The 26,937-nt window shown below is 40.0% G+C and overlaps 1 protein-coding gene across 8 annotated transcripts in view, besides 2 other annotated features; it reads right to left on the minus strand.

Annotated features, from left to right (window-relative positions):
* The window catches only part of OPCML (opioid binding protein/cell adhesion molecule like), a 1,117,521-nt gene that overhangs the window by 240,691 nt on the left and 849,893 nt on the right, over window positions 1–26,937 (minus strand). For all 8 annotated transcript variants that reach the window (NM_001319104.4, XM_006718846.4, NM_001012393.5 and 5 more), the window contains one exon: window positions 1,416–1,648. In NM_001319104.4, the coding sequence (NP_001306033.1) occupies window positions 1,416–1,515 (100 nt within the window). In that variant the 5' untranslated portion in view covers window positions 1,516–1,648. The remainder of the gene's footprint in view (window positions 1–1,415; window positions 1,649–26,937) is intronic.
* Window positions 25,720–26,220: an enhancer, noted in NCBI's record as "H3K4me1 hESC enhancer chr11:132551286-132551786 (GRCh37/hg19 assembly coordinates)". NCBI's record gives its function as "activates a minimal SCP1, AML or CMV promoter by ChIP-STARR-seq in primed H9 embryonic stem cells {active_cell/tissue: H9 hESC(primed)}" and the evidence as "EXISTENCE:reporter gene assay evidence [ECO:0000049][PMID:30033119]".
* Window positions 26,221–26,721: an enhancer, noted in NCBI's record as "H3K4me1 hESC enhancer chr11:132551787-132552287 (GRCh37/hg19 assembly coordinates)". NCBI's record gives its function as "activates a minimal SCP1, AML or CMV promoter by ChIP-STARR-seq in naive H9 embryonic stem cells {active_cell/tissue: H9 hESC(naive)}" and the evidence as "EXISTENCE:reporter gene assay evidence [ECO:0000049][PMID:30033119]".

A 26,937-nucleotide genomic window follows, 5' to 3' on the forward strand; every position in this document is an offset into this window, starting at 1 on the left:
ACAGCAGTGACAGCAGACAGCTCTCTGGCCCCACACATGCCATTACAAATGGCTACAGAGGCAGGCCTGGCTGCTTGCGCCAAAAGGAAAGAATGGGCAACCTGAATCATGCAAGTGACTGAAGCATGAATAGACAGCCCCCACGCAACCTCTCTCTAGGAAACCAATTGAAATGAGCAACATCGTGGTCCTTTTTTTTTTTTTTTTTAAATCAGAGATGAGGAATCTATCTTAGCTAAGCAAGGATGCCATACACATTTCACAAACTAAAAAAAAAAAAAAAATTCTGTTGGATCTATGACAGATGGGATCTGATAAAAGGCAGATGCTAAAGACTAAATCACACATAGGGACCCTTTCTGAGAGCTCACTGTGTTTCCTCAAGATATCTGCAAACGAGGCTCTGAAAGAAGTCCACCCGAACCTTTCATTTGGTGGAGGAAGGATGCATCACTGGCTGACGGAACTAATGTGCTTACAACTTCATTCCTGCCGTGAGCCAACACCTGACAGAAATGGCTTTACATGGTGATGATAGTTGGGGTCAAGTTCAAAATAAGTTCATTTGGATTGCTGCCTTGCTTTAAAATGGTTCTCAAATTCTTGGAACTGCTATCTGCATGTGTTTTTAATTCTTAATATTTAATATCTGAGAATCTGACATTTCTTCAGCCCCATTTTTGAGGTGTAATATGAAATTTAAATTAAAAACTATTTTAAAATGCACGTGACACAATTCCTGGGCTATGTCGATTCAAGTTTTTAAAGGAGAATGGAAGAAGATGCTAAGTCTTCCTTCCTCCTTCTCCCTTTTTAAAATTGTCTGAATTTATTACTAACATTAACCTGCAGATATCATTCTGACTAATATCCCTCTTGGATCTGGACTTCATTGTCTGGCTATGAGAGAGTGTTTAAAGACAGCAGCAATGCCAGGGAGGACCTGCCTAAACAGCACTCAGAGACCCCTCCAGAGCATGCATGACCAGCAACTGTGCGAAAACAGTCATGTCACGTAGTTTCTCATTGGCATTATTCGTCTTTTATCATGAAATAAGCCTATAAGAGAATTAAAAGGCACTGAGAGTAGTACTGTATTTATCTATGTTTGCATGTATCTCACTCCAGCTCCAGAGTGCTAAGTAACTTACGAGAGCTCAATACGAGTGCATGTTACACAACGTATTGATGAGAACAGAAGGACTAGAGATAACATTTAGAAACTTTGAGAAGATATTCAGCACTTAGTTAAGTACCCATTCGATGGGAAACATTCCAAGACATATAGTCAAACTCTGAATTCAGTAGAGGAAGATGACTTTTGTGTCTTCGCACACAGGTAGAACAAACACCAACACTGTTCTTCCCCTCCATCACTGACGGGAATGGCAACCCCAGATCCAGCTGGGACTTACCTTGCACTATTAGGTGAACCCGGGACGTTTTGGGATGATTGTCTGTCTGCACAGAGCAGGTGTACGGACCTTCGTCATACACATCCACATTTTGGATCATGATGCTGTACTGGGTTGGTGTATTGACCAGGATGATCACACGAGGGTCTATGGACCACTTGTCATTCCCAGCGTAGAGGATGGTGCTGCGGTTTAGCCAGGCCACCCGGGTTACCCGGTCATCTATGGTACACCTGCAGTGAGGCAGGGAGTGGTGGAGGGAGGAAGAAGGGAAAGAGAGAGAGTGGAGAGATTATATAATATGGTAAATAAGACGTTGCATTTTGAGGAGTAAATGAAACAACAAAACACAGTGCTAAAAGGAAACAATTATTGATGAAACTTCCTAAATATAAACTAAGAGTGACCAGAATCATCTTGAAGAACTGACAATACAAAATCATTTCTATTTGACTTCGAGACATATTATGTATCTTTGCCATCCATTTGCTTTCCCTGTTATTTTTTTCCCCATAGGCTTATATGAAAATCAGTTTATGTTTCTTGAGCACATTTACCACCTTGGGGAAGAAGTGGCCCAGGGGCACATGGGAGAGAGAGTGGATCAGCATTTCAAATAGGTCACAGATAACCCACAAAGCAAATACTTAACTTGTAGTTAATCAAAAATTGAACATATTTACCTCCAGACCTCCCTGGTGTTGGTAATCTCCTTATACCCCTAAGCAGCCGAAAGCCTGCAAACTACAATTTATAACATAGGTTGGTAAAATTCACCTTAGAAAGCCAACACTTCTTGAGGAAGTCAAAACTGCATCTTAGGACTTCAGGAGAGGAAAAAGAAAATTATCAGCAGAATCCCTGTTCCTCATACACTCCCTGTCCCATTGGGAGACAGAACAAGGCTATTATCAAAGCAGGGAACTGTGCAACACCTCTCACCTACTCTCCTTAACAATTCAAAGCTATGAACACAAACAAGGCCTGTGTGTCAGTGTGGATGACCTGCAGGCTGTCAGGTCTGATATAGGACTGAAAGTGTTGGACGTCTGCGCATGTGCCCAGGAACTGAGGACGTGGGAATGGAAGCATGAGGAAACAGAATGCTTTCTAAGTGTGGAGGCACACCCATCACTCCATGCTGCACATAGGAATGCACAAGGACAACCACTCTTGCCAATGTCCTGGCAGAGAGAGGAGGGACTTGAGTCCAGCACCTGCAGGTGAGGAGAACACGGGGAATAGGCATGGCCTTCCCTCACTGGATCTGACCTAACACTTGGGTGGCAGCAGTGATCCTTCAGGCAGGTCTCAGGAGATGGAAGGACCCCAGAGACACTGGCCACAGTGGAGATGTCAGGACCTGGCCAAGTGACCAGTCTCACCTGGCCTGCATGGCTCAGGGTCTCCAAGCACCAGAACCATGACCCTCTAGAATGGGGAAAGCACCTGATCTAGGGCGGTCCTCTCCCTGGTTGGTAGGAAGAATAAAAGCAATACCAGCTTCCGGTCACCCAGGCCTTTTTATGAGCTGGCCCATCTGCCCTTTAGCCGCTGAGAAGTTGGGTAGGGAGGGTGTTAGGCACTCTCACAATATTGCAGGAAGACATTGTTCTTTTCTAAATAAGCATGTGAACAATACAAAGTGAATAATGCATGTAAATAACACTAAGATGATACAGACCCATCTAACCATTCACTCCTCACCAATGCCCAGCACCCCATGGTGATTTGCTAGCAACTTGTTATATCTCAGTCTACATCTTACTCCTTATACACATGCATGAACTTGTATGAAGCTTGTGCTGATTTGCTTTCACCTGAAATAGAATCATACTCTAACATTCCAATGAAACTATTTTTTTTTATTTGACCACAGGCATCCCTTGCACACCAGCAGTTACAGACCTCAATCTGCATACTTTCTAGGTAAGCGAGTTTCCAGGGCCCAACTGCATTCACCAGTAGGACCTGATAATCTAGGTACCATCGAATGATTCTTTCACATCATTATAGAAATGTCATTGGTATAAAGAAAAAATGAAGTCATGTTATCTCCTCCACATCGTGAGGCATCTTGCTTCTTTTCCTGTTGCTTTCTTACTTCCATAGCATTTTTCTATTTCCCTTATGAAGACCTAATGGATCTTAAACGTTAATGGATCCTCCCTGCTCCCCACTTTCAAAGGCTTTTCTTGGGGAAAAAATATGATAAATTTATTCATTCTCAGTTGCAAATGACTGATAAGGGGAAATATGCAACCTTTCCTAAGGATAGGTGAATTTTCATAAAGGAGAAATCCCTGTTTGAAGAGCTCCTCCTAAAGAAAGTTCAAATAGTAGAATTCCAAAAATCAGCACACCTGGAATTAGATGCTAAATTGAGACAGAGTGAAGGGCGTGATGTTCCAGTCGCTTCTAGTTGTGTGGTCTTCTAGTCACCACACAACCCAAGTGACTAAGTGCAAACAAATATTGCTTTAATTTTGCTTAGTTATGTAACCCCTTGCACATTCTTAAGTTGCCATAAAAAATTGTAAGCTACAATTGAAAAGGATGATTTTTTTGGCCTTTAGAACATATTCACATTTAAAAATTTTTTTAAGTCACAAAATTCCTGTGTGTGTGTGTGTGTGTGTGTGTGTATTTGTTCAGTAGAATTTAAATATCACAGTGATTAACACTCCTGATTATCTGCTTTCAAAATTCAGGAACTAACTCTTTTTCTAAAAGTCATAACACGTGCATTGTTCCTTTTTAAACTGGAACTTGTTTTTCCACTATATATCTTCTGCAGAAAAATGTACTTTATGCTTGAAGGTCTTTTATTGATCACCTACCATATTTATTTGCAACCAAAAATATACAGAGATTGAAATTTAAATTTCTTTTATGTCCTATGACCATAAAACTTTAAGCAATAATATATTTCTTAAATGAATGATCATTACAAATATAAAATTGATAGAACATAAATATAGAGCACATTTCGTTAAGCAATAATTAAACATGAAAAAGCAAACTTACTAGAAATATAGCTTTTAATAAGAGGGATAGGCCCCTTTTTTTAAATGCCGTAGATAAATATCACTCACTGCTAGAATGAGATGGAGTTCAGGATCAATTCTATTCCTACTTTTGCTTTTAGAGAAACCTTGTTCACATAAGAAGATGGAAATGAAAATTGTGCATAGCAATGCCAACTCAATTATTTGAATGCTTTCCAAGATATATGCCAAAAATCACATAGTAATATAGCTTCAAAGATAATTTCAATGATCTCGCAGCTGACAAATCAATTAATTCCTCTTTCAATTTATTTTAATGCAATGAATTGGAAAATACCTGACTCGCAAAGGGGTTTATAACATGGCATCAAATTCATTCAATTTCTCAGTATCTGGAAAGTATATGATACCATTTTACCAGGCCTTATCAGATGGCTGCAAAAAGATGTTATTCTTTTACTGGAAGTGCCTTGTTTAACCCAATACACTCAGAAATGTTGGGAAAATACAAATACTGTTTATTTTAATATGCTAAATCACCGAGCCCTCTGTTAGGACATGTCTCATCTCCAAGTTCTAATTCTAAATGGAGAATGCACTAGTTTGCCATGAATCTGTTCCTGATGCAATCAGGTGCCATTGCCTTTAGTGCCCTGCTTTGCTTCTGTGGGAGTCTCCTTCAAGACTGATACCCTGCTCCATGACAGTCGGCTGATGGAGGTGACAAAGAAAGCCAAAGAAGTTTATCTCCTGGACGAAGTGTGAAGTGGGAGCTGTCAGAAGGGAGACACAGAATTACACTGCAACCTCAGGCACTTACTCAAGCAGATCAACTTTAGGGAATTTGAGATCTTTGAAGTGCATTTCCTGAATCCTATCGTTGTCCTTGTATAGGACCAACCACTTCAGGTTGAGGGTGCATAGAACCAGTGCAAGTGGCCACAGGCTTGAGTAAGGGTGGACTTTGAAAAAGGGCAATCCAAAACTACTCTGTGGGCCAGAACACACTGTCATTGCCCTAGCCACACAGCCCTTGGAAAGCCTGTGTGTCCCTTGGGTAATCCTCTCCCTGGTGAGTAGCCATGATCCGGTGTACTTGCTCTTGGACCTGGGCCTCCTTATGGGCCTGGAGTAGAAACAGAAAAGAGTAACTGAGTAAAAGCCATCTCTCTAAATGGGCAAAGATGGTTCACAAGTTTGTATGGTTCTCAGAACCTAACAACAGAGAAACTGAGGGAAACAATGAAATCAGTTGAGGAAAGTTATTTTCCTCATGATGTTGCTCTGCTTCAAAAGAAAATGTAGTTTCATGGCTTCATGCTTTCTTCCATCACCATAGGACTCTTCCATAGTCCCCTGAACAGCAGGAAAGAGAACTCAGGGAAGGACTTAAAAAGTTGGCTTGAGTGCTCTTCTAAACTCAGGCTCCTTCCCTGCTGTCTGTGGCCGTGTCCTGGACTCTCATTAACAAGAAGCACAGAGGGGAACACTTTTGAAGTTAAATAAGGGGGAGCCAAGAGGCAAGTTGAGGAAGGCTAATGACAACTTTCTGATGTCTTGGAAATTATTTCAGATATTTAAAATTCTTACATTCCAAGCTAACCCTACCTACTGATCCTTGATAAAACAGAACTCATTACAACTACATCACAAGTAACCTCTAAAATTATATATTGCTTGTACTGCACCAGGCATAGTTGTAAGAACTTTCAATATATCAAATCATTCTATCCTAATAACTACCCTTTGAGATGTGTTCTATTAATATTATATCCACATTTTACAGATGAGGAACCCAAGGCACAGATAAGAAAAAAGGAAAGCTATCTGGAAGACACTTGTACACATTCTTAACCTCTAGCCATGTGTGAGGAAAGAAGGTATAAATGAGAGTCTGGAAGAGCAAAGAAATGCCTGACAGACATCAGAAGGCAGAGATGTTTCTGAATATGTACCGTGGGGTTAAGATTCAGGGTCGTTTTGTTTTGTTTTCAGAGGAAGAGGTGAACTTAGGGAAATCCATGCCTTAAAGCAGTGGTTTTCAACCTTTTCTGTGCATCAAAAACAGATTGCTGAAGCCAGCCCCCAAAGAGCTTTTGGTTCATGGGTCTGGAGGGACCAAGAATGTGCATTTTCAACAAGTTCCCGGATACTGCGGCTCTGGGGACTCCTCCTGGAGAACCACTCACTGCCTTAAAGAAATGAGGCAAGTGACAGGTTGGAATTTTAATCAAAATAATCACTGAAAATTAAAATCAATTGGCTTTAACTTTTTTGTGTTCTTTACTTTTGTTTTTATATTTTGTCTTTGAAAATGCAAAAAAAAAAAAAAAAAGTGCCAAGATTCATTCAACAGATATGGAGTGAGTGCCTAAGGTGCATGAGATAACTTCCTAGGAGCTGAGAACACAGTAGGAACAGGCCGACAAAGTTCCTGCCCTATGAAACTACACCTAGTGAGAGACAAATAAAGTATGTATGTCTAGATATATTTGTTTCAGAAGGATACCTGGATAAAATAAAAGAAGGTAAGGAATGGAGAGTGTATCATGGGAACTGTGGATATATTTGGAACAGAATTCCCAAGAAATGCCCTTCCATGGCCTCATGCCAGACGTTGAATGGTTGAATGTTTATAACTCTAAAGTTGGGTGCAATAAGATGCATGTCCGAAAATTGTGTCTAACTTTACAATGAAATTCTCATCTCACATACAGGCACAGATAGCTGCAGGGACATTTAAGTGATCTGGGTAGTTGGAGAACAAGTCTTTTAAACCAGCCTCACAAATGGTGTCCTCATATATTGAGGACTTTGTACGTGTTCAAAGAATTGATAATTGATATTTTGATAAACTGAGAGTTAACTAGAAAATGCCTTTATGTTTCCTCCTTTGTTACGGTAATAATACCTAAAACAGGGTGCATACCTTTGTGTTTTAATTAGTAGACAATGGCAAATGTAGTTAAATCTCTAATTCAGACTCCATTCTCTTTGTAATATACGGATAATACCAAAGATCCTAGACTCTTCATAGAGCTTACATCACTGAATTTAATTATTTATACTCTCATGTGTTAAACTACGAATGTCACATGGATAGTAACCATATTCAGTATCACCAGCACCTCCCAGCCTCTACCCAGGAGCTAGTAGGTCATCAATACATATTTATAGTGATAAAAGGTGTAAGACAATGTTTTTCAAATGGGCATCAAAAGAACCCACATAAGGAGACTTATATGTGGGGACATATATGTGTCTTTCTGCAGGATAACTGAATCTATATCTTTATCTGTATCTACATAGACACACATAGAGTCCATGGGCTCTTTATGTATATTTTTCAATTTAGTGTTTTCATTTCTATTGTAATTGGGAGATGTATAATATAAACCTATGCTAGATGTGGTATGACAACAATTAAATTTAAATGTTCAGATTTGCACCTGTGTTCACCACACTGGCACATTGAGAAGTCCTTGCATCATATCAGGCTGATGACAAAAATACAGAGGTGACTGGCTTTGTCAGTGACGCCTTCCTACCAGCAAAAGCTGAATGATATGGGCTCCACTGTAGTAATGAAGGTTCCCAAGCGCTAGAATGAGCCACTGTGGAAGGAGAACTTCGTTATCACAGGATGAGCGTGGAACCCAGAAGGGCAGGCCTTACAGCAGTCAGTGCCACATCCACATTGCAACCTGGGATTTAATGTTGTTTTTTTTGTTTGTTTTTGTTTTTGTTTTTTGTTTTGAGACGGAGTCTCACTCTGTCGCCCAGGCTTGAGTGCAGTGACGCGATCTCGGCTCACTGCAAGCTCCGCCTCCCGGGTTCACGCCATTCTCCCGCCTCAGCTTCTGGAGTAGCTGGGATTACAGGCGCCCGCCACCACGCCCGGCTAATTTTTTGTATTTTTAGTAGAGAGGGGGTTTCACTGCGTTAGCCAGGATGGTCTCGATCTCCTGACCTCATGATCCGCCCGCCTCGGCCTCCCAAAGTGGATTTAATTTTAATAAAACATCATCTGTTCCATTAAGTTAATGTTCCAAGTTTAAATTTTAGTGGCTATATATGTGCATAACTTATAATTTCAGAAGTTACAGTCATATCAGAGTGTAAGCTTAAGGCATTTATACCTAGTTTTATGATTGCACATATATAAAGTTTTTTTTTAATAGTTACCACTGGAAATCCATGAAAATCTTGTCTCTCTTCCCATCCTTGACCCCTGCTTTTAAAGTGGTCTTCTATAGAGTACTCAATTTAAGAAATGCTGGGTGGAATTTTAAAGCCCGAAATGCATTTCTCTGAATTTACTTTTTTAATACATTCCCCCATATTATCTTGTAACTTTTTGGTTTTCCTTTTATCATTTGCCTTTTTCATAAATTGAGAGTTAATTGAATTTTTGCTAAGAAAAACCTGACTATGTATCCAAATATATTAATAATGCCAGTCCAAAAACTGGGAGGAAGACCTTGCTTTAATAAACTCATAAACCAGTGATAAATAATTTTTTAAGGGAAAGAAGAACAGGCAAGCCAAAATGAAATATTTTTAGATCAACTCCCAAGGTATTCTAAATTGCAAAAGCTGTTCTCCCAGGAGGCTTTAACTACTCATTTATTTCCTGAGTTACAAATAGAGCCAACTTCAGAGCATCAACAGGGACCCTAAATTATGTAAGGGAAAACTTTATGATTCAGATAGTTGGAAATGCAACGAGAGTAATCACTCTGCTAGAGCTAATATTTGCTGATAAGGTATTGGTTGAGAATGTATCTGAAAGCCTCTGCAGAAAAATGGTGAGGGATAAGAGCTACTTAAGGAGAGTACAGCACAAAAATATTTCAGTAGTGCAACGGGTTGACTTTGAAATCTGACATAACATGACATCTGCCACTCGCTGGAAAATTGGAAGACAGTGCCACACTAACACCAGCTGGAGGGGAGATGTCACATTAATACATAGGAAGGGTGCATGCCCACGTGTGTGTGCATGTGTATGTGTGTGTGGAGCGGGAGGGGAGGTTATGCAGAGAAAACACACTAATGCCTTCAACGTGAGGGCCTGCAACATGAGGACATAGAGTAGTGGAAACACAACCAAGGGAGGTTGCAGGCTTTCCTGAAAACAGCATCACCTGAGGCAGAAAATCAGCCACTGGATGATAATGTGCTGCACTTTCAGCCATGTCTGATGATAGATGAGTCCACCAGAAATTGCTCATTGTGTCCTGACGCAAACAAGGGGAATCTCTGGTCCCCACAAGCACAGTGAGGGCTCTACCTGAATGCAGAAAGCAATTTCTCACACCACGCAAGTGAGGCAACTGTGCTGACGGCAGCTCAGAACAGAGTATCTGATGCCGGGAAGGAAAATGAAAGGAGTGATTTATATGGAAAGATGGCTCCACAAAGAGGCAGAAATTGCTTACAACTACAGAAGTGGGGTTAAACTGCTTGGCTGTGGGAGGAGAGAGGAGGAGAATTCCTATCTTGGTAAAAGAAGTAAAGCGTAGGGTAGCGAAACACAATTATAAAAAGTAAGGGTGAGCAGAAAGGCCAGAGAAAGCTCTCTGAACAAAATAATGAATGATTGAGCTGGTTTCTTCCCAGGCTCCAAGTCACTCTATAAATCCACAGGGTATGTTGAGGAGATCACATTACTAGTTTCCCAAGAAGAGGTAGGCAAGGTTGAAATAAAAATAACAACAAAAAACATCTGAAAAGGCAATACCTGCTTTGAAGGTCCTTATGATCTCAGACAAATGATAGAACACAAGAGTATTACAAAGGCACCCTATCACATTCATGGATACAATAAAAAGTATACATCTGTCCATTTGTTTAACAAATATTTAGTAAGCACCTGCTAAGGACCAGACACTGTGTCAGGCCTTATAAATAGAACATTTAGGAGAGACGCCCCACCTCTACCTTCATGAAGCTCGCAGATTTGAGGTAGCAATATGCAATACACAAAGTCACAGAACACTGATACATGAGTACAAGCTGAATTAGGATGGTGTCTTCGTCCATTTCCATTACCATAAGGCTGGTAATTTATAAAGAAAAGAGGTTTACGTGGCTCACGGCTCTGCAGGCTGTAGAGGAGGCATGGCGCCACCATCTGCTTCTGGTGAGGGCCTCAGGAAGCTTCCAATCATAGCAGAAGGGAAAGGGGAGTTGGTATCACATGGCAAGAGAGGGAGCAAGAAAGACAGAGAGGAGATGCCAGGCTCTTAAACAACCAGCTCTCTTGTGAACTAACAGAGCCAGAAATCATTCCTCACTCATTACAGCCAGGAGGGCACCATATCATTCATGAGGAATCCACCCCCATGACCTAAACACCCCCAACCAAGCCCCACTCCAATCTTGGGGCTCACATTTCTAGATGAGGTTTGGAGAGAACACACATCCACACCATATCAGATGGTCATGTAGGGGTGGCATGGGCAAGACCTTACTCACACATGCAGTCTAGAGACTAGGCCACTCTGAAGAAGTAACATAATTGTTAGATTAACAGACAAATATCTAAAGCTGATAACTCAGAAGAAAAACTAGGTACAAGTATTGGGTACTGATAGAGTCTTAGATAGAAGGCAGGGCAGCCATGTGGGGTCTGGGATTGAGGTTGACTCAGGTAAGGAATGGAGTGGAAGCCAGAGTAGTCCAAGCGAGATAGACAAGGACATGGTTGTGTTCCACAGGGCTGCAGAGGTAGACATCTCCATGGTAAAATGTCTGCATAGGTTTAACTATAGGCCTGTATTTTATGAGAATAGGCTGGACTTCTTTTGGAGAATAGACTGTAGCAGGGCCAGAGGCAGAAAGAATAGTGAAGGGACCATTGCATCCCTATAGATGTGAGAGTACAGTCACATGATGAAAGGGTCTGCCGCTTAAGGAAGAGCTTGAGGGAGCTAGAGTGAAGGAAGGAGTCATCAGAGAATCAGGCATGAGATGTTGATGAAAAGTTTGCAGCCAACACTTTAACGAACTTTGATGTCAAAGTGGAGTGGGGAAAAGACACAGAGGTAGAGGCAATTAGGTTCTTCAAAGGGTTTTTGTTTTGCTTTTTTGTTGTTGCTTATTTGTTTTAAGAGTAGGAACACTTGGGAACTAATTAATTCATTTTGCAAATATTTACTGAATACCTATTGGGTGCTGGGATGTTTCTAACTTTTGTTAGCCTGCATATCACCTGTGCATCTTAATTCACTAAATCCGAGTGGGGACCATGGTCTGCATTTCCAACAAGCCCACATGCTGAGGACTTAATGAACTTTGAGTAGCCTGATTTTAGGCAGTAGAAACAAAACTGCATGAGACAAGGACCAGGCCTTCTTACATTGCAGTATGTAAGTATATATACTAATGAGAATGATCTTATCAATGGGAGCAAGTGCTAATGCAGGAGAAAGGGGATAACTGTCAGAGAAAAGTTACAGGGAAAGTGAGAAAACATTAGATATAAAGTATATGAAGGAAAGATGCTCTATCTGCTCTATAAGAGAAGAAAAAATAAGAGAAACCTGGGTGGCTTTGTGGATTCAGCTATGGGAAAGCCAGGAGGCAATCTTTTCTCCAAAGTGGAAGACTAAGTTATCAGTTGAAGGTAAATGGAAGAACAGAAGAAAGGGGATGAAGGATGCAAAAAAGTGAAATAACTATCGCAGAAAATGACATCAAAACTACTAGGGAACTATAGTGGGACTTATAGGCTATGTTGAGGTCCCATTTGTAGTTGGTGGTCAAGAATTTGTAGTGACAATATTCTGCTAGCTTTGAGAATATTCTCCAGCAATGCCTAGCTTCAGGCATAGAGAATGTAGATGATGGGTTTATCCCGTGTTGGAGTACGCCAAGTGAGCAACAGGGAGGAAGGCAAGGATTACAGGAATTACAAAATATTGAATAAAAATAGTGAAGATAGGAGGGGCTGACGGATACAGAGAATGTGGTAGGCTCAATGCATTAGAAGTCTTAATAAAGTCCTTGAGCAAATCAGCTGGAATGAAAGAAATTATACACGATGAAAAGTTGAAATAAGTGTGAAATGAGCAATAGTCACCCTTGTCAATGATGGGGATGTGAACTAACTTAGAGGCAAGTTGGTTCTTCTAAGTTCATATTGACAATATCAAGAATGATGATGAGAGCTGAGAGTTCTTTATGAGGTTTTGCGAAATGTATAAATCGAGCATTATAGAGATAATATTAATATATTGTGGTGTTCAGGAGAATGCCTGTCATTGGACAGATGTGGGCTCTGCCACTTACTAACACAGAGCACTAAGATAAGCATTTTGTTTAACCTCTCAGAATCTTCATTTGTGCATCTGTGAAGTGGGATGAACGTATTTTCCTCATGGCATTACACAGTGCTATTATGAGGACTGAAGAAAGTGATGCGTGTTGAGAATAGGAATTATACTTGGTAAATAGTGCCTGCTCTATTAGTACGAGCACTGTTGCCTCATCTGGACAAATATAATTCAAGCTCTATGATCTAAGAGTGCATGTGAGTTTAACCAAGTGATACTGAATCCGTTCGCATATCCTTTTCCAAGCAGTTCTGATGCCTTCTCCTTCTGTACTTCCAAATCTATAAAAACGGATATTGATGTGGTATTAATCAGAAATAACAAGAAATTTACATTTTTAGCATTACTAGCTAATCCTTCTAGGGCTGTTCCAGTCTACCTATAGATTCTCGTACTTCTAGTAACATTTTCTGTTTTTTCAAAAATGTCTTACTCTCCAGAAGTGTTCTATACTCAACCTACGTAGAATTCTGCAGTGGGATTTCATTTCCCTCTGAGGTTTATTTTCTCAGCTATAGCCACTGAGACAACTTTAACTTTTTATTTTGATCAGGCCTTTTTCACAGTGTGTTGACACAGTGGTTGATGGGCTGGTTTCTAGATTGATGTCCTGTGGTTGGTGAAATGCTGTATTTCTAAAAATACATAATTGGGAGATCAATCAACACAATTGTGCACACCTGAAGCAGAATTCAGTTGGCCCACAGGCCCCAATAGCTTAGGCACTAGTGTTGTCCTTTTCTTGGACAGCGTCAGTGTATAAACAGGATACTGCTCAGTCTAGAAGAACCATTCTCAAGCAGATTGAGGCATTCCTGAAGTCAGATGCCAACCATGTGTCAGCGCTGAAGGAGATGAGGGACATGGAGTGATGGGAATCAGATCACAGGTGAATGGGTTAAGGAGCTTCAGAGAAACACATCCAATTCCCTAAGGAGACATTCACTGCACAGATACTGCTGGGCACCATGGAAAAGGGAAAAGGGAAAATTATTCTAAGGGTCTTACTCCCAACCCAAGGTGACACCATTAGCTAGTGAAGCAGTTTTTTGGAGTCAGTAATGGGGCTGCATCTTAGGAAAGATGAGTAACCACAGATTTTAGCAAATGGTATCTCCACAGAAAAATGCACTGAGCAAGCTGCTCGGGTATTGTCATCTCTTCTTTTAGAGTCACAGTCTGGCTTTGGAACACCTTTATGTCCACCTTCTTCCATCGTGACTCACTTAAATGGTGGTGCTACAGTACAAGGCAAAGCCATTTCTGAAGCAATGAGCTTTTGGGTATAGAAGAAAAGTGTCTTTTGAGGCAAGAATGATAAAAAGTCTCTTCTTTCCCAATATCCAGCCCCATTTTCCATCTTTCCCAATATCCAGCCCCTCTGGTCATCAGCAATGGTTTGGAGTTCCACGTAAAGTTGTAAAAGGCAATGAAGGTATAGCTCTCACACCTGCCTGCTTGTTATATAGAGCCTTTTAGGGAGCTACCCACTGACTAGTCAGGGATGCCTTAAGAAGCCACCCAGAACAATTCTTGTTATTTATTTGTCATCTGGCTCTGACTCTGCCCTCCCTTCCTCCACATCCTGAACAGCTTTAAAATTCAGCCTCCCAATTTTTTCATTATGCTTGGCAAAGAAGTGAGCAAGATGAAATTAAAATGTTTCCCAAGCACACACCATTTTAATTCCATTCAATAGATTATCCTGACATATTTACTCACGACCATGTCTGTCTCAGTATCATCCATGGAAAAGTATAAATTAAAATTTTAAATTAAAAGCAGAGAGTCTGGGGAGCTTGATATCTTTTTGAAGAATGGCGCAAGTCAGCCACAGGCTCCCGCACAACTATCGTGGGAGCAAAGACTTCGGCAGTGCAGAAATTACAGCCCACAGATTTCCCTACAAATACCTGCCTACATATAATGTACGGGATCACAGAATCCCACAGACGGGCAAGACCACAAAGGCCATTCTTCTTTCTCCAGAACTGTGCATAAACAAACCTCCTCCCCTTTTTGGTTCAAATGAAACTCACCCAGAACTGCTAAAGGACTGATTTATTTATGGAACCAAAAAATATACTGAAAATTGATTTGCTTTTATTCTGTCCATAAAATTTCTGTGTAGCATATGGGGTAAGATAATAAATATTTTAATAAGAAGTATATAAGTTCCAGTCACAGGTCTATAATTTACTAAACTCCTGATCCTCTGTGAATATCAGTTTTCTCATTTGGAAATAATATTTGTAAAAAAAACAAAAACTATAGATTGTAGTGAATATCCAAAGAAACTATTTTTTTTTAGCACTGTTGCCACAGTTCTGGAGCATAGTGAATAGTCAATAAATGTTTGCTATTATATTTACATAATTACTTACTACTAAAGAGTAATGATACCCCTCATGTTATAATGATCTTAACTTTTCCTAGTGTTCATCTCTCCATCTACACATACATCAGTTTTACAGTTTGGAAAATTAAGTAGGACATCCATCTCTTCCAATCACAACCCATAGACTGTGCTGCCTCAAGTTTAGAAAACAGAAATTGTGTGTGTTCAGGTGACTGTGGCTTAATGGCCAACTAGTAGGCCAGTAGCTTTCCTTGATTCATCCTGTGCCATCCTGAACAGATTACACATCTGAACAAAACCTTATTTGAGTTTTTAAAAATAAAACTCTCATGAAACAGACAGATGGGCAGGGACAGATGGCGGAGAAGGGATGGGAGGTGAAGTCTTCACCGTTCCTACAGCATTGCTCCTGTAGAATGTCAACTCTGCCTGTTTAAAAATATATGCTATATATTTTTAATAAGCCAATCATCTTTTCCAGAATAGTGGCTTATTTTATACAGATTATGCGAACTGTCTCTCCTAAAAAATAAAATAGAAGGCAGGCAAAACTCTTTCCTTGGGCCATGAAAAGCCCAGAGAGATATTCCCTGGAGGCAATAAAGCCACAGGGTTAACTTGCAAATGTTTCCAGTTCAGGCACCAAGAGTTGCTGCTTTTAATTTGTGTCACCTAGAAATCAGCACCACCAGATTGCTAATATGGGAGGAAGAGGGTATTCTTAGCTGCTGAGACTCTCTGAACTGCTCCGAGGCAACCAAAATAACAGGGAGTCTGACCCGAAGGTAACCTGAATTTCTCCAGCCTTCTCCATTTTACTCATATGTATGAAACAGCACTCAACATGTGGGCAAGACACTAAGAAAGACTGAGCTTGTGGGACTCTCTGTAGAGGAGGATCCTTCCATAGAAACTTGTAAGGGTTTAAGAAGCTCTGGCATGAAAACCCAAATTTTCATTATAAGTAGGGAAAGTCGAGTTTCCTTATCATGGATTTTAAATAAATAAGTTGAGAAAGAAAGAGAAGGAGAGAGAAAAGGAAGAAAAAAAAGAGAAAAAAGAAAACGAGAAGAAATAAATCTTTAGAAATGCATATGTAGAAAATGTATAATTTACTCTGTACTTTACAGCCAATACACCACCTTAATTGTGTTCTGCTCAAGTGACTATTGAAATTATTATGCACTTCCTCAGCACACTGACTACAGATTCCTGTTATTCTGTAATGATTCTTTTGTAACACTTCCCTATTTGGCACTCAACAGATCTGCTGTCTGTGCTCTTATAACTTGACCTCACATTGCCCTTGCCATCAGTCCAGCTGGGGTCTCTCATTCTCCTTTTCCTGCTCACACCTAGACTAGCACAAGTCCTACTTAGGCCACAGGTACAAAGAGAAGGGTCCCCTTCTACTCAAATTAACTGTGGGAAAGCAAAGCACAGCCTGGTTAAGCCCTCGGGGATTGCAGCAGAGTGGAGAATTACTCCTGTCTCAGTTCATTATAATGAATAATAAAGAAATACTTACATGTGCTTTTTAGTAAATTATTCGTCTTGTGCACTGAAGAATCAGGGCAGTAATACGCAAGGGAAACAACTAGTGCATTTGGGGTCCTAAAGTACTCAATCTAAAGCATTTTCAAAGACCATCTCCCACCTTCATTAAGCACTGAAGTAGTTGTGGATCTTGGAAAGAAGCGGCTTAAATCAAACACTTCCATCTCCCTCCTTGCTCTCTGTGTGTGGCTCCCTGTAAAGCTGATGCTATTTAAAACATATTTGTTATTTTAGCGTAGCTCCAAGTCTCTTGAAGCAACCGGAAAATCTCAGCAGGACCACCACTTTGCTGTCTGCAGCCATCATCAGGAGGTAATTAAGAGAGCGAGAATTGTTTCCAAACCAATAAAGCTCTTCCACGACCCTCTATTATCCCCATATTCACCCAGCCCCAACCCCTCTCTATTAACAGGAGATCCATTGATTCCTGTAGGAGACAACATATTTAGCTTGGTTCTTCACTGCTTCCTACTTGATTTCATTGTACTGTCATTTGTCCATGCTTAGGGGCCAACATATTGAGATGTTTTGAAAACCATCACTGATTGTTGTAATATCACCTTCATTCCAGGGTAAATGAACATGAGGAATGAAATATTTTGGGGCTTCAGATTTTGCTTCTCTAAGAAATAAGAGACTTTGCTCTTCTTAGGCCTTCATTTGTCAAGCTTAAAAAAAAATCCTAACACCATTTGACCTGTTGATACTTCTAAGTCATCAATGCATATTAGCAATAAGGTTAATGCTACACACCTTATTTGGTACAGTTTGCACAAGATGCTTGCCCCAAATGAGGTCTGGCACCATTCACTGATGAGTGGTATCGTCCTTCCTGACACAGCACAGTTAATGTCCGCTCATGACTTGGTCTTGTCCTTAGAACGCATGGGTGAAGATCAGAGGTGATGTTCATGAGCAAAACCAAACCAAACATAAAATGCATGATGATGATGATGATGATCGTGATGGTGGTGCAAACAGAGAAAAATAGATCACAGAGAGATGGAAGTGGGTGGGCCATTGGGGCATCAGACATGAGGAAAGTGTCTCTATGACTGTCCTCAAAACGCAAGGGAGAAACCAAGTGAGAGGACTATTTTCAGGAGTGAGAATCAAGAAGCCAAGCAATTGTTTTCAATGCTGTCACTGATGACCAAGAGACATTATTGAGCTCATCAACTGCACCCAGGTTGATTAGCTGTATTTATGCTCTGATAGGGTTGGGGCAGGGTTGGGAGGTGGAAAAAAGCCCTATTTTGAAAGGGGTCATTGGCTCCTCAGAGTTTGAGGAGAAAGCACTTTCTGTTTTGGTCATTGAGTATTGGAAACTACACTTCTGACAGGAAGAAACACGTATCTGTAACCATTTAGAACTCCACAGGGAGAATTTTTCCACCCATTTTTTCTCACCTTATGATGACTTGTCAAAACAGCAATCATAAATTTTCCCAGAAGCAGAATTGGGGCCAAAAACTGAATAGCAACTAGACAGCATGAATCCAAAGGGTAGTGGTCTCTGCCACTCTGTGAAGCTCCACTCTATCCCATTCCTTCCTTCCCTTTTCTCTCCTAACCCACTATTAGCAATTTACCCTGAGGCCTTCCTACTTCTGTACTACCCTGGTTCTACCTTTTTCCAATTGACCAGTACTATGAAAATGTATATTGAAAGCATATAGGCAGTGTATGGTTGAAGAGGCTCTTCAAAGTGTTTAGATAAAGCAGACAAGCTCTGACAAAGCTAGCTAATAAACCAGGCCAGGAGGTTTTTCCTTGAAGGTGGCTAATTAAGAACAAAGCAAACATACACTAACAGTCTCCTCTAGGCACTGCGTTCACCTCAGAAGAAATTTTACTATAAATCCAGAAAAGAAAACTTAGCATCACAGCAGAGCGGTCGAAGCAGAGAGAACTAGAGAGGCTTGCAGCTTTGCTGTGGGTGGAAGGGGCATCCAGGGAAAGGAAATCCAAAGCCTCTGAAACAGGAAGCATTTAAATCTGCAGGAAGCTGAGCCAAGCTCAACAGATGGCAGGAGAGGAAACCTGGCCTCACCATTGAAGGCTGAACTTTTTGGCAGGGTGAACAGCCCCAGTGAATAATCAGATTTATTTTGTGTTGTATTTTTTAAGTGGAAAGTTCGACTTGATCTCTTGACAAAAGAAAATGTCACCCAAAGTCTATGTGCACACTCCAAGAAACCCAAGGTGGGGTGGCACTTGTCTTATAAAATTAAATTAATTCAAAGACAACTTTTGGTGACTTTGAGGGTGGTGATAATGGCTGCTTTTTAATTAAAGTTTATTAAATTCTTAAGATCATAATACTTCTGAGTACAATTTTTCACATTATATAAGTGATTCAGGAAGCTTATGAAAAGGAGTATATTAAACCAACACAGAGCTCACTCTAAGGTGGAACAGGTAGGGTATTTGAAAGACCTTCTCATTGCTGAGTTGCAATATCCCTCTCTAAGGCACATCCACTGGTTCTAGTTCTTCCTTGTAGCAGAAATAAATCCAGTGCTGCTTCTTCATGGCAGTCCTTCATGAAGATGAAGAAAACTATATTATCCACTCTAAGTTATGTCATTTTGTGAATAAGCTTTTCCACTTACCGTTTTTAAATCAGCTACTATTCATATGTTCCTTGTTCACATGAGTAAATTTCCCTGTGTCATTAAATAGAATATCCTACAGAAAGACAGGCCATCTAGACAGGTGAGTCACATTAGGAAGCAACTAGAAGGTGCAATTCAGTGGTTCGGATTTTGCCATGCCTAGAAGTATGACAGCCCATATATATGTATGTGTGTGTGTGTGTGTGTGTGTGTGTATATATATATATATATAACTTTACATATATATATATAAAACGTTATATATGTATATATCTTTCATTGTGAATTTAAATAAAAACAAACTTATCTGCATATATAAAAGATTTCACTTTTATTTACAAAAATCTTGGAGACACAACCCCTCACACACAATGACACAATGTATAGCTCTTAATTACACCCTCGCCTCCCCTTTCTTATCCAGGAACACAAACATTTCTATTCAAAATTGTATTTAAGCTTGCAATATGCACAATTAGGTAAGAAGTGATATAAAAGGCACCCAGTTTGGAAAGAAACAATTAAAAATATGTCTCTGCGAATGAAATATCTTACATATAGAAAATCATAAGGATTCCACCAAAATAAAAAAACGCAAGTAGAATGAATAAAGAAATTTAGCAAGGTTGCAGAACACAAGATCAATATATAAAAATTAACTGTGTTTCTATACATTAGCAATGAAAAATCTGAAAATGAAGTTAAGAAATCAATTTCATTTACAATACAATCAAAATGAATAAAATATTTTAAACTACTTTTTACAAAAGAATTACAAAGCTTATGCTCTAAAAACAAAAGTGTTGAAATAAATTTGAAAAACCTAAGTATTAATAAATGGAAAATGGCCAACGCCCATGAATTGGACAATTTAATATTGTGAAGATGGTCATATTTCCCAAACTGTTCTACAGAGTCGATGCAGTCTTTATCAACATTTCAGCTGGCTTCTTGGCAGGAATTGACCAGCTGATTATAAAATTTACATAGAAATCCAAGGGACTCAGAACAGCCACACAATCTTGTAAAAGGAGAAAAAAGTTGGAGGAATCACACTTTCCAATGTTAAAGCTTACTAAAAAGCTACAGCAATTAAGTCAGTGTAGCACTGGCATAAAGATAAACATATAGATCAATGGAATAGAATTGAGAATTCAGAAATAAACTCTCACATTTAGAGTTGGTTGATTTTTGACAATAGTGCCAAGGCCATTGAATAGGGGAAATAATAGTATTTTAAAGAAATGGTGCTGGGACAGCTGGATGTCCACACACAATTGAATACAGCTGGAACTCTGTTTCATATCACATACAAAAAATAACTCAATATGTATCAAAACCCTAAAGGTAAAAGTTACAACTCTCTTAGAAGAAAACATAGACATAGTCTTTGGGACTGGATTAAGCAAATGGTTTCTTATATATAACACCTAAAGTATAAGCAACAAATAAAAAAATTGATAAATTGGATTTCATAAAAATTAACAACTTTTGTATTTCAAAGAGCACCAGTGAGAAAGTAAAAAAAAAATCTATAGAATGAGATAAAATATTTGCCAATTATATATCTGATAAGTGACTTGTTTCTTGAATATATAACTTAACACTTACAACTCAAGAACAACAAAAAATCCAGACAACCCAATTTAAAACAAAACTATCTGAATAGATATTTCTCAAAGATATATAAATGGCCAATAAGCACATGGAAGTAAGCTAATATTATTAATCATTAGTAATACATAAAGCCTTAATAAAATACCATTTTAGGCCCACTAGAGCAGCTATAATAAGAAAAAAAGAAAGAAAGAAAACAAACAAGAAAAAAAAAAAAAAAGAAAGAACGAGAAAAAAGAAGATAACTAGGGAGCAAGGCAAGGATGTCTCTTTGTACCACTACTTTTCAACGCTGTACTAAACAGCCTGGCTAATGCATTAAGACAAGAAAAAAAGCAAACTGATTAAGAAGAAAGAAACCAAACTGTCTTTGTTCACATATCACATTTGATATAATCATCTATGTAGAAAATATGAAATAAATGACCAAAAAATCCTTCCTGGACTAATAAGCAATTATAGCAAGGTTGCAGGATACAAAGTTAGTATATAAAAGTCAATCACTTTCATATATGCCCCCAAGAAATATGTGGAGACTGAAATTAAAAACACAGTACCATTGATATTAGCACTCCCAAAATGAGATACTTAGATATAAATCTAACAAAGTATGTGCAAGATTAATATAAGAAAAACTGTAAAACTGATGAACAAAATGAAAGATGAACCAACTAAATGAAGAGGTGTTCCATGTTCACAAACAGGAAGACTCAATATTGTCAAGATTTCAGTTCTTCTGAACTTTAGCTCTAGATTCAATGGAATTCCAATTAAAATCCCTGAAAGCTATGAAAGTTATTTTGTGGATATCGAGACACTGATTCTAAAGTTTATGTGGACAGGAAAAAGACCCAGAATAACCAACACAATATTGGAGTAAAATAATAAAGTTGGAGAACTGACAGTACCTGGCTTCAAGAATTACTATAAAGCTACACTAATCAAGACAGCATGTATTATTGGCCAAAGAATAGACTCCAAGTAAATGGGACAGAATAGAGAGCTTCCAAATAGATCTGTCTTCAGAGAGTCTACTGATCTTTTACAAAGGAGCAAAGACAATATAATTAAGATAGTCTTTTCAACAAATGCAACTGGTACAGCTTGATGTCCACATGAAAAAGAAAAAAGAAAAAGAATCTAGACACAGATCTTACACTTGTTTAAAAAATTAACTCAAAATGGAAAACAGATAAAACAAAAAATTCTAAATCTCCTGGATAAAAACAGGAGAAAATCTAGACAAACTTAGGTTTGGCAATGACTTTTTAAATAAAACAACAAAGGCACAATTCATGAAAGAAAGAATTGATACGCTGGATTTCATTAAAATTAAAAAATTCTGCTTTATAAAAGACACTGTCAAAAGAATTCAAAGAAACCACAGACTGGAAAAAATATCTGCAACAGACATCTCAGTTAAAGGGCTGTCATCCAAAATGTACAAAGAACTCCTAAAATTCAACAATATGAAAACAATTCATTTATAAAAGATGTCAAAGACCTTAATAGACACCTCACCAAAGAAGACATACAGATGGCAAGTAAGCATCTGAAAAGATGCTCCACATCATATATTATCAGGGAAATGCAAATTACAACAAGGAGATACCACTACACACCTATTAACCTGGCCAAAATCCAGAACACTGACAACAACAAATGGTGACAAGGATGTGGAGCAACAGGAACTCTCCTTCATTGCCGGTAGGAATGCAAAATGATATGGCCAATTTGAAAGATAGGTTGACAGTTTTGTACAAAATTAAACGTACTCTTACCTTATAATCCAACAAATGTCCTTTTTACTATTTTTCTAAAGGAGTTGAAAGTTTATGACCATGCAAAGACCTGCACACAGATGTTTACCGCAACTTTATTCATAACTACCTAAATTAGGAAGCAACTAAGAGGTTCTTCAGTAGGTGAGTGGATAAACTGCGTTACATCCAGACAACAGAATACTATTCAGTAGTAAAAAGAAATGAGCCACAAAAAGACATGTTGGTAACTTAAATGCATATTACTAAGTAAAATATGAATTTGAAAAGGCTACATATTGTATGATTCCAGCTACATGACATTCTAGAAAAGGAAAAACTACGGAAACAGAAAAACCATCAGTGGCTATTAGGGGTTGGGCGAGGGAGAGGTGAACAGGCAGAGCAATGGGGCTTACAGGATAGTTGAACTACTCTGTATAATACTAGCGTGGTGGCTCTATCTCATTACACATTTGTCTAAAACTATGAAATGTACAAAACCAAGAGTGAACCTTATTGTGAACTACACAGTCTGCCAGTGATGATGTGTCATTGTAGGTTCCTCAGCTGTAACAATGGCCCACTCCGGTGGGGGTGGTGATGATGGGGAGGCTCTGGGGGAGAGCAGGGGATGTGTGGGGACTCTGTATATTTCTCTCAATTTTACTGTGAACCTAAAACTGCTCTAAAAATAAATTCTATTAAGGCAGATATTAAAATATTTGACAATAAAAAAGAAAATATTAATGAAATAATTGTTGGCCAGGATGTGAAGAGATGGGAATCCTCAGGGACTGCTTGTGGGAATGCAAAACGAGGCAGCTGTGGTGGAAAACTGTGTCAGTTTCTCAGAAGTTGATCATGAGATACTATATGACTCAGTAAGTCTATTCCTAGATACATACACAGGAGAAATGAACACACGTCCACACAAAAACGTATACACAAATGTTCATAACAGCATTATTCATTATAGACAAAAAGGAAAAATAGCCCAAATGTTAACTGATGAATGGATGAATAAAATGTGGGTATATCCACATGGTGAAATATATTCAGCCATATATAAAGAATAAAGTAGTGATACATTCTCCAACGTGGATCAACCTTGAAAACACACTAAATGAAATAAGACAACAACAAAAGATCTCCTATTGTATGATTCCATTGATATGAACTGTTCAGAACAGGCAAATCTAAAAAGACAGAAAATAGTTGCTTGATTGCCTAAGATTGCGAAGGAAAGATGAGCAGGAAATGGGGAATGACTGTTAATAGGTATGGGATTAACCTGGAGGATGATGGAATTGTTCTAAAACTGATTGTGTAGATAGTTGTACAACTCTGCAAATATACGAAAAACAAACAAGGTGCACACTTTAAATGAGTAAAGTGTATGGCATGTAAATTATATCACAATAAAACTGTTACAAAAAGGGAGGAGTGTGCCTAATCCATGAAGGAGGATGTTAAAAGATATATTTGGTCTTCAGGTGATCAAAATTAATGCTATGATTATGGACGTGTGAGTGTGATTTGATGGTTATCCAAAGGAACTGTTTGTTGGAGACAGGTGGAGTGGTAGGTGATGTGCATTCTCAAAGAAGGACTTTTTAGTAGATGCAAGAGTAGAGAAGGTTTTATCTCAATTTATTCTTCAATTTTTTTTCTTTTGTGAATGCAAGATGCTTTATCAACCCACATGTATTCCAGAATGTGCTCAGGTCTACAGAGTGCAATTTCCCATGTCACTGTGGCAAATTCAGGTGCTGTGAACCATTCTGCTTTATTACTGGAGCTGAGTGGCCGTGATCAAGCCATTGTGCAATGCACCTGCCCCTCACCCAGTGCCTCAGGGTTGGACATCTGCTTTAATAACCCCAATTTATCATGGGATAAAACACCCACTTTATCATGGGCCCTCTCATCAACTCACATCCCCTCAGGTAACCTGTATATTTCAGTAGTGGTCTTCTCTGAGTCATCATCAGCATCACCAAGTATAAAGGAGTAACACAAAGGGCAGGAAATCTCTCCCAGATTGGAGAGAAACCCACCCCTTGAAGAAGTGCTAAAACATATCCTACCACATAGGCAGTTGTTCCCTTTGCCCACGTGAAGACAGATCTGATGCACTTTCCTCAGGGCTGAAGAATAAAAATTTCAGGTTCGGAACCTTCAAGAGAAAAAGGCCCTGGCTGCAGGCGCAGTCAAGTAAGAAGATGAGTGGAAGAGGGAGCTGGGGCGGCTGCGGCCACGCTACCTCAGCTGTAATTGTGATGATTCTTTATTCTTAATGCTAATTTTGAAGTTTTCCAAGGAATTATTTTACTTAGTGTCAACGATACAGATAACACTGTGGATAAGCTCTTTATATTCGAGCAGAGAAACTGGTCAGTGTCCTCTCTGGGGGCCTATTAGCCAGGCCCTAGCTTGAATCACTCTGGCGGTTGCATGCTGCCTTCATTAATGAGACTGACAAGCCGCTCCTGCATGTGAAGAATTCAGCAGCAGAAGACGCCTGTTGCCCTCATGCCCCAGTCAGTTTTCTCCCGCTCCAAACCCATGGCATCTTTTCTCAGGCAAGCATCGCGCAGCGTGGTGTTGGTGATGGTAAAGGGCCATGAAGCTGCTGAGTAATCTCCCAAACTAGCAGAACCCCTCCAGCCAAGAATGGCTGGCAGGCGGGGGTTGCCTTCCTAAGCCTGAAGGACAAGGCAACCAGAGGAGAGTGAGGCCACATGGTTGTCCCTCATGTTTTGACACTGCAGGACTTGTCTCCAAAATCTCATTTTCTGATAGTGATAGGGAGAGGAGGCAGGGAAATTCTAGGCAGAAAAGGGTGCGGTCCCTGGCAAGGGCCCCACCCTCAAGCCTGGAACTGCTGCCCACAGTAAGAACTTTACATCCCCATTTTCCCACTCAAATGTTGCCTTTTCCAAAACCATCCCTGGCCTGCCCTGCCCCCTGTCCTGTACCCATAAAATCCACTGACTTGACTGGCAGAGAGCAGAGAAGGGGAGAAGAGGAGAAGCAGCTGGATGTCGGAGACTGCAGTTCGACATGGGAGAGAAGCAGCTTGGCTTCATGGGGGACAGCTTGATGGCATTTTTTCAGAAAGGAGTCCAGTCAGGAACAACTGGACTCTGGGGGAAGATGACCTTCCTGCTCCATCTCCTCTCCAGCTCCCCTTCCCACTGAGAGCCTCTTTCACATCGGCAATAAAATCCTCCGCTTTCACCACCCTTCAGTTTGTTCCTGCAACCTCATTCCTCCGGGATGCCGGACAAGAACTCGGGTGTGGGTGCAAAAGATCACACTGATGCAGCCAGCCGTGGTGGCTCACACCTGTAATCCCAGCACTTTGGGAGGCCGAGGTGGGCAGATCACGAGGTCAGGAGATCGAGACCATCCTGGCTAACACGGTGAAACCCCGTCTCTACTAAAAATACAAAAAAATTAGCTGGGGTGGTGGCGGGCACCTGTATTCCCAGCTACTCAGGAGGCTGAGGCAGGAGAATGGCGTGAACCCGGGAGGTGGAGCTTGCAGTGAGCCGAGATCGCGCCACTGCACCCCAGCCTGGGCGACAGAGAGAGATTCCGTCTCAAAAAAAAAAAAAGTCACACTGATGCCCCACTGAGCTGTCTAACAATTAAGCCATCTGTGATGTGGCTGGCAAAGCTAAAGGAGCGCTGTAACACGTGCCCTCTGGGGCTTCAGGGGACTCAGGTATCCCCCCAGATGCTGCTGCATAGCTGCACGGAGTTTTGCTCCTGCCAGCACTCAAAAGCGCTCACCCACGCTCCTGCACCCTCTCACCTGAGTGCTCTCTCTCCCACAAGAGGTTGAGAGCTATGGGCTGGTAAGCAAGGCACCCTCGTCATGAGGCCTGGGAAGGCGTCAGGGAAAATTTCCTGTTTCAGTAGGTTTCTAACCTAAGCTGACAGAATCCCTAATAAAAGGCAGCAAAGACCACAAGAATTTATGTTTCTTAGAGGAAGGAAGGAGGCATGAAGAAAATTCTCTATCTCATTTATGTTTTATAACATATCATCTTTTAAAAAAACTCTTTTCCTTCTCTTTGTTTTTAACTGTTAAGATGCTAAAAGGGGGCCAGCCTCTTTCAAACCCTTGCTAAAAGGAATAGAATCTGAGTTAAGAGAGAACAATCATCTTTGGGACATTAATTAAGCACCCACACATGAGAAAGCCTGTTTAGAACCAAGGTCTGCTTATGGCAAACTCAAAGCAGTTTGTGCC

Source organism: Homo sapiens, chromosome 11 (genome assembly GCF_000001405.40).
Source record: "Homo sapiens chromosome 11, GRCh38.p14 Primary Assembly".
NCBI lineage: Eukaryota > Metazoa > Chordata > Mammalia > Primates > Hominidae > Homo > Homo sapiens.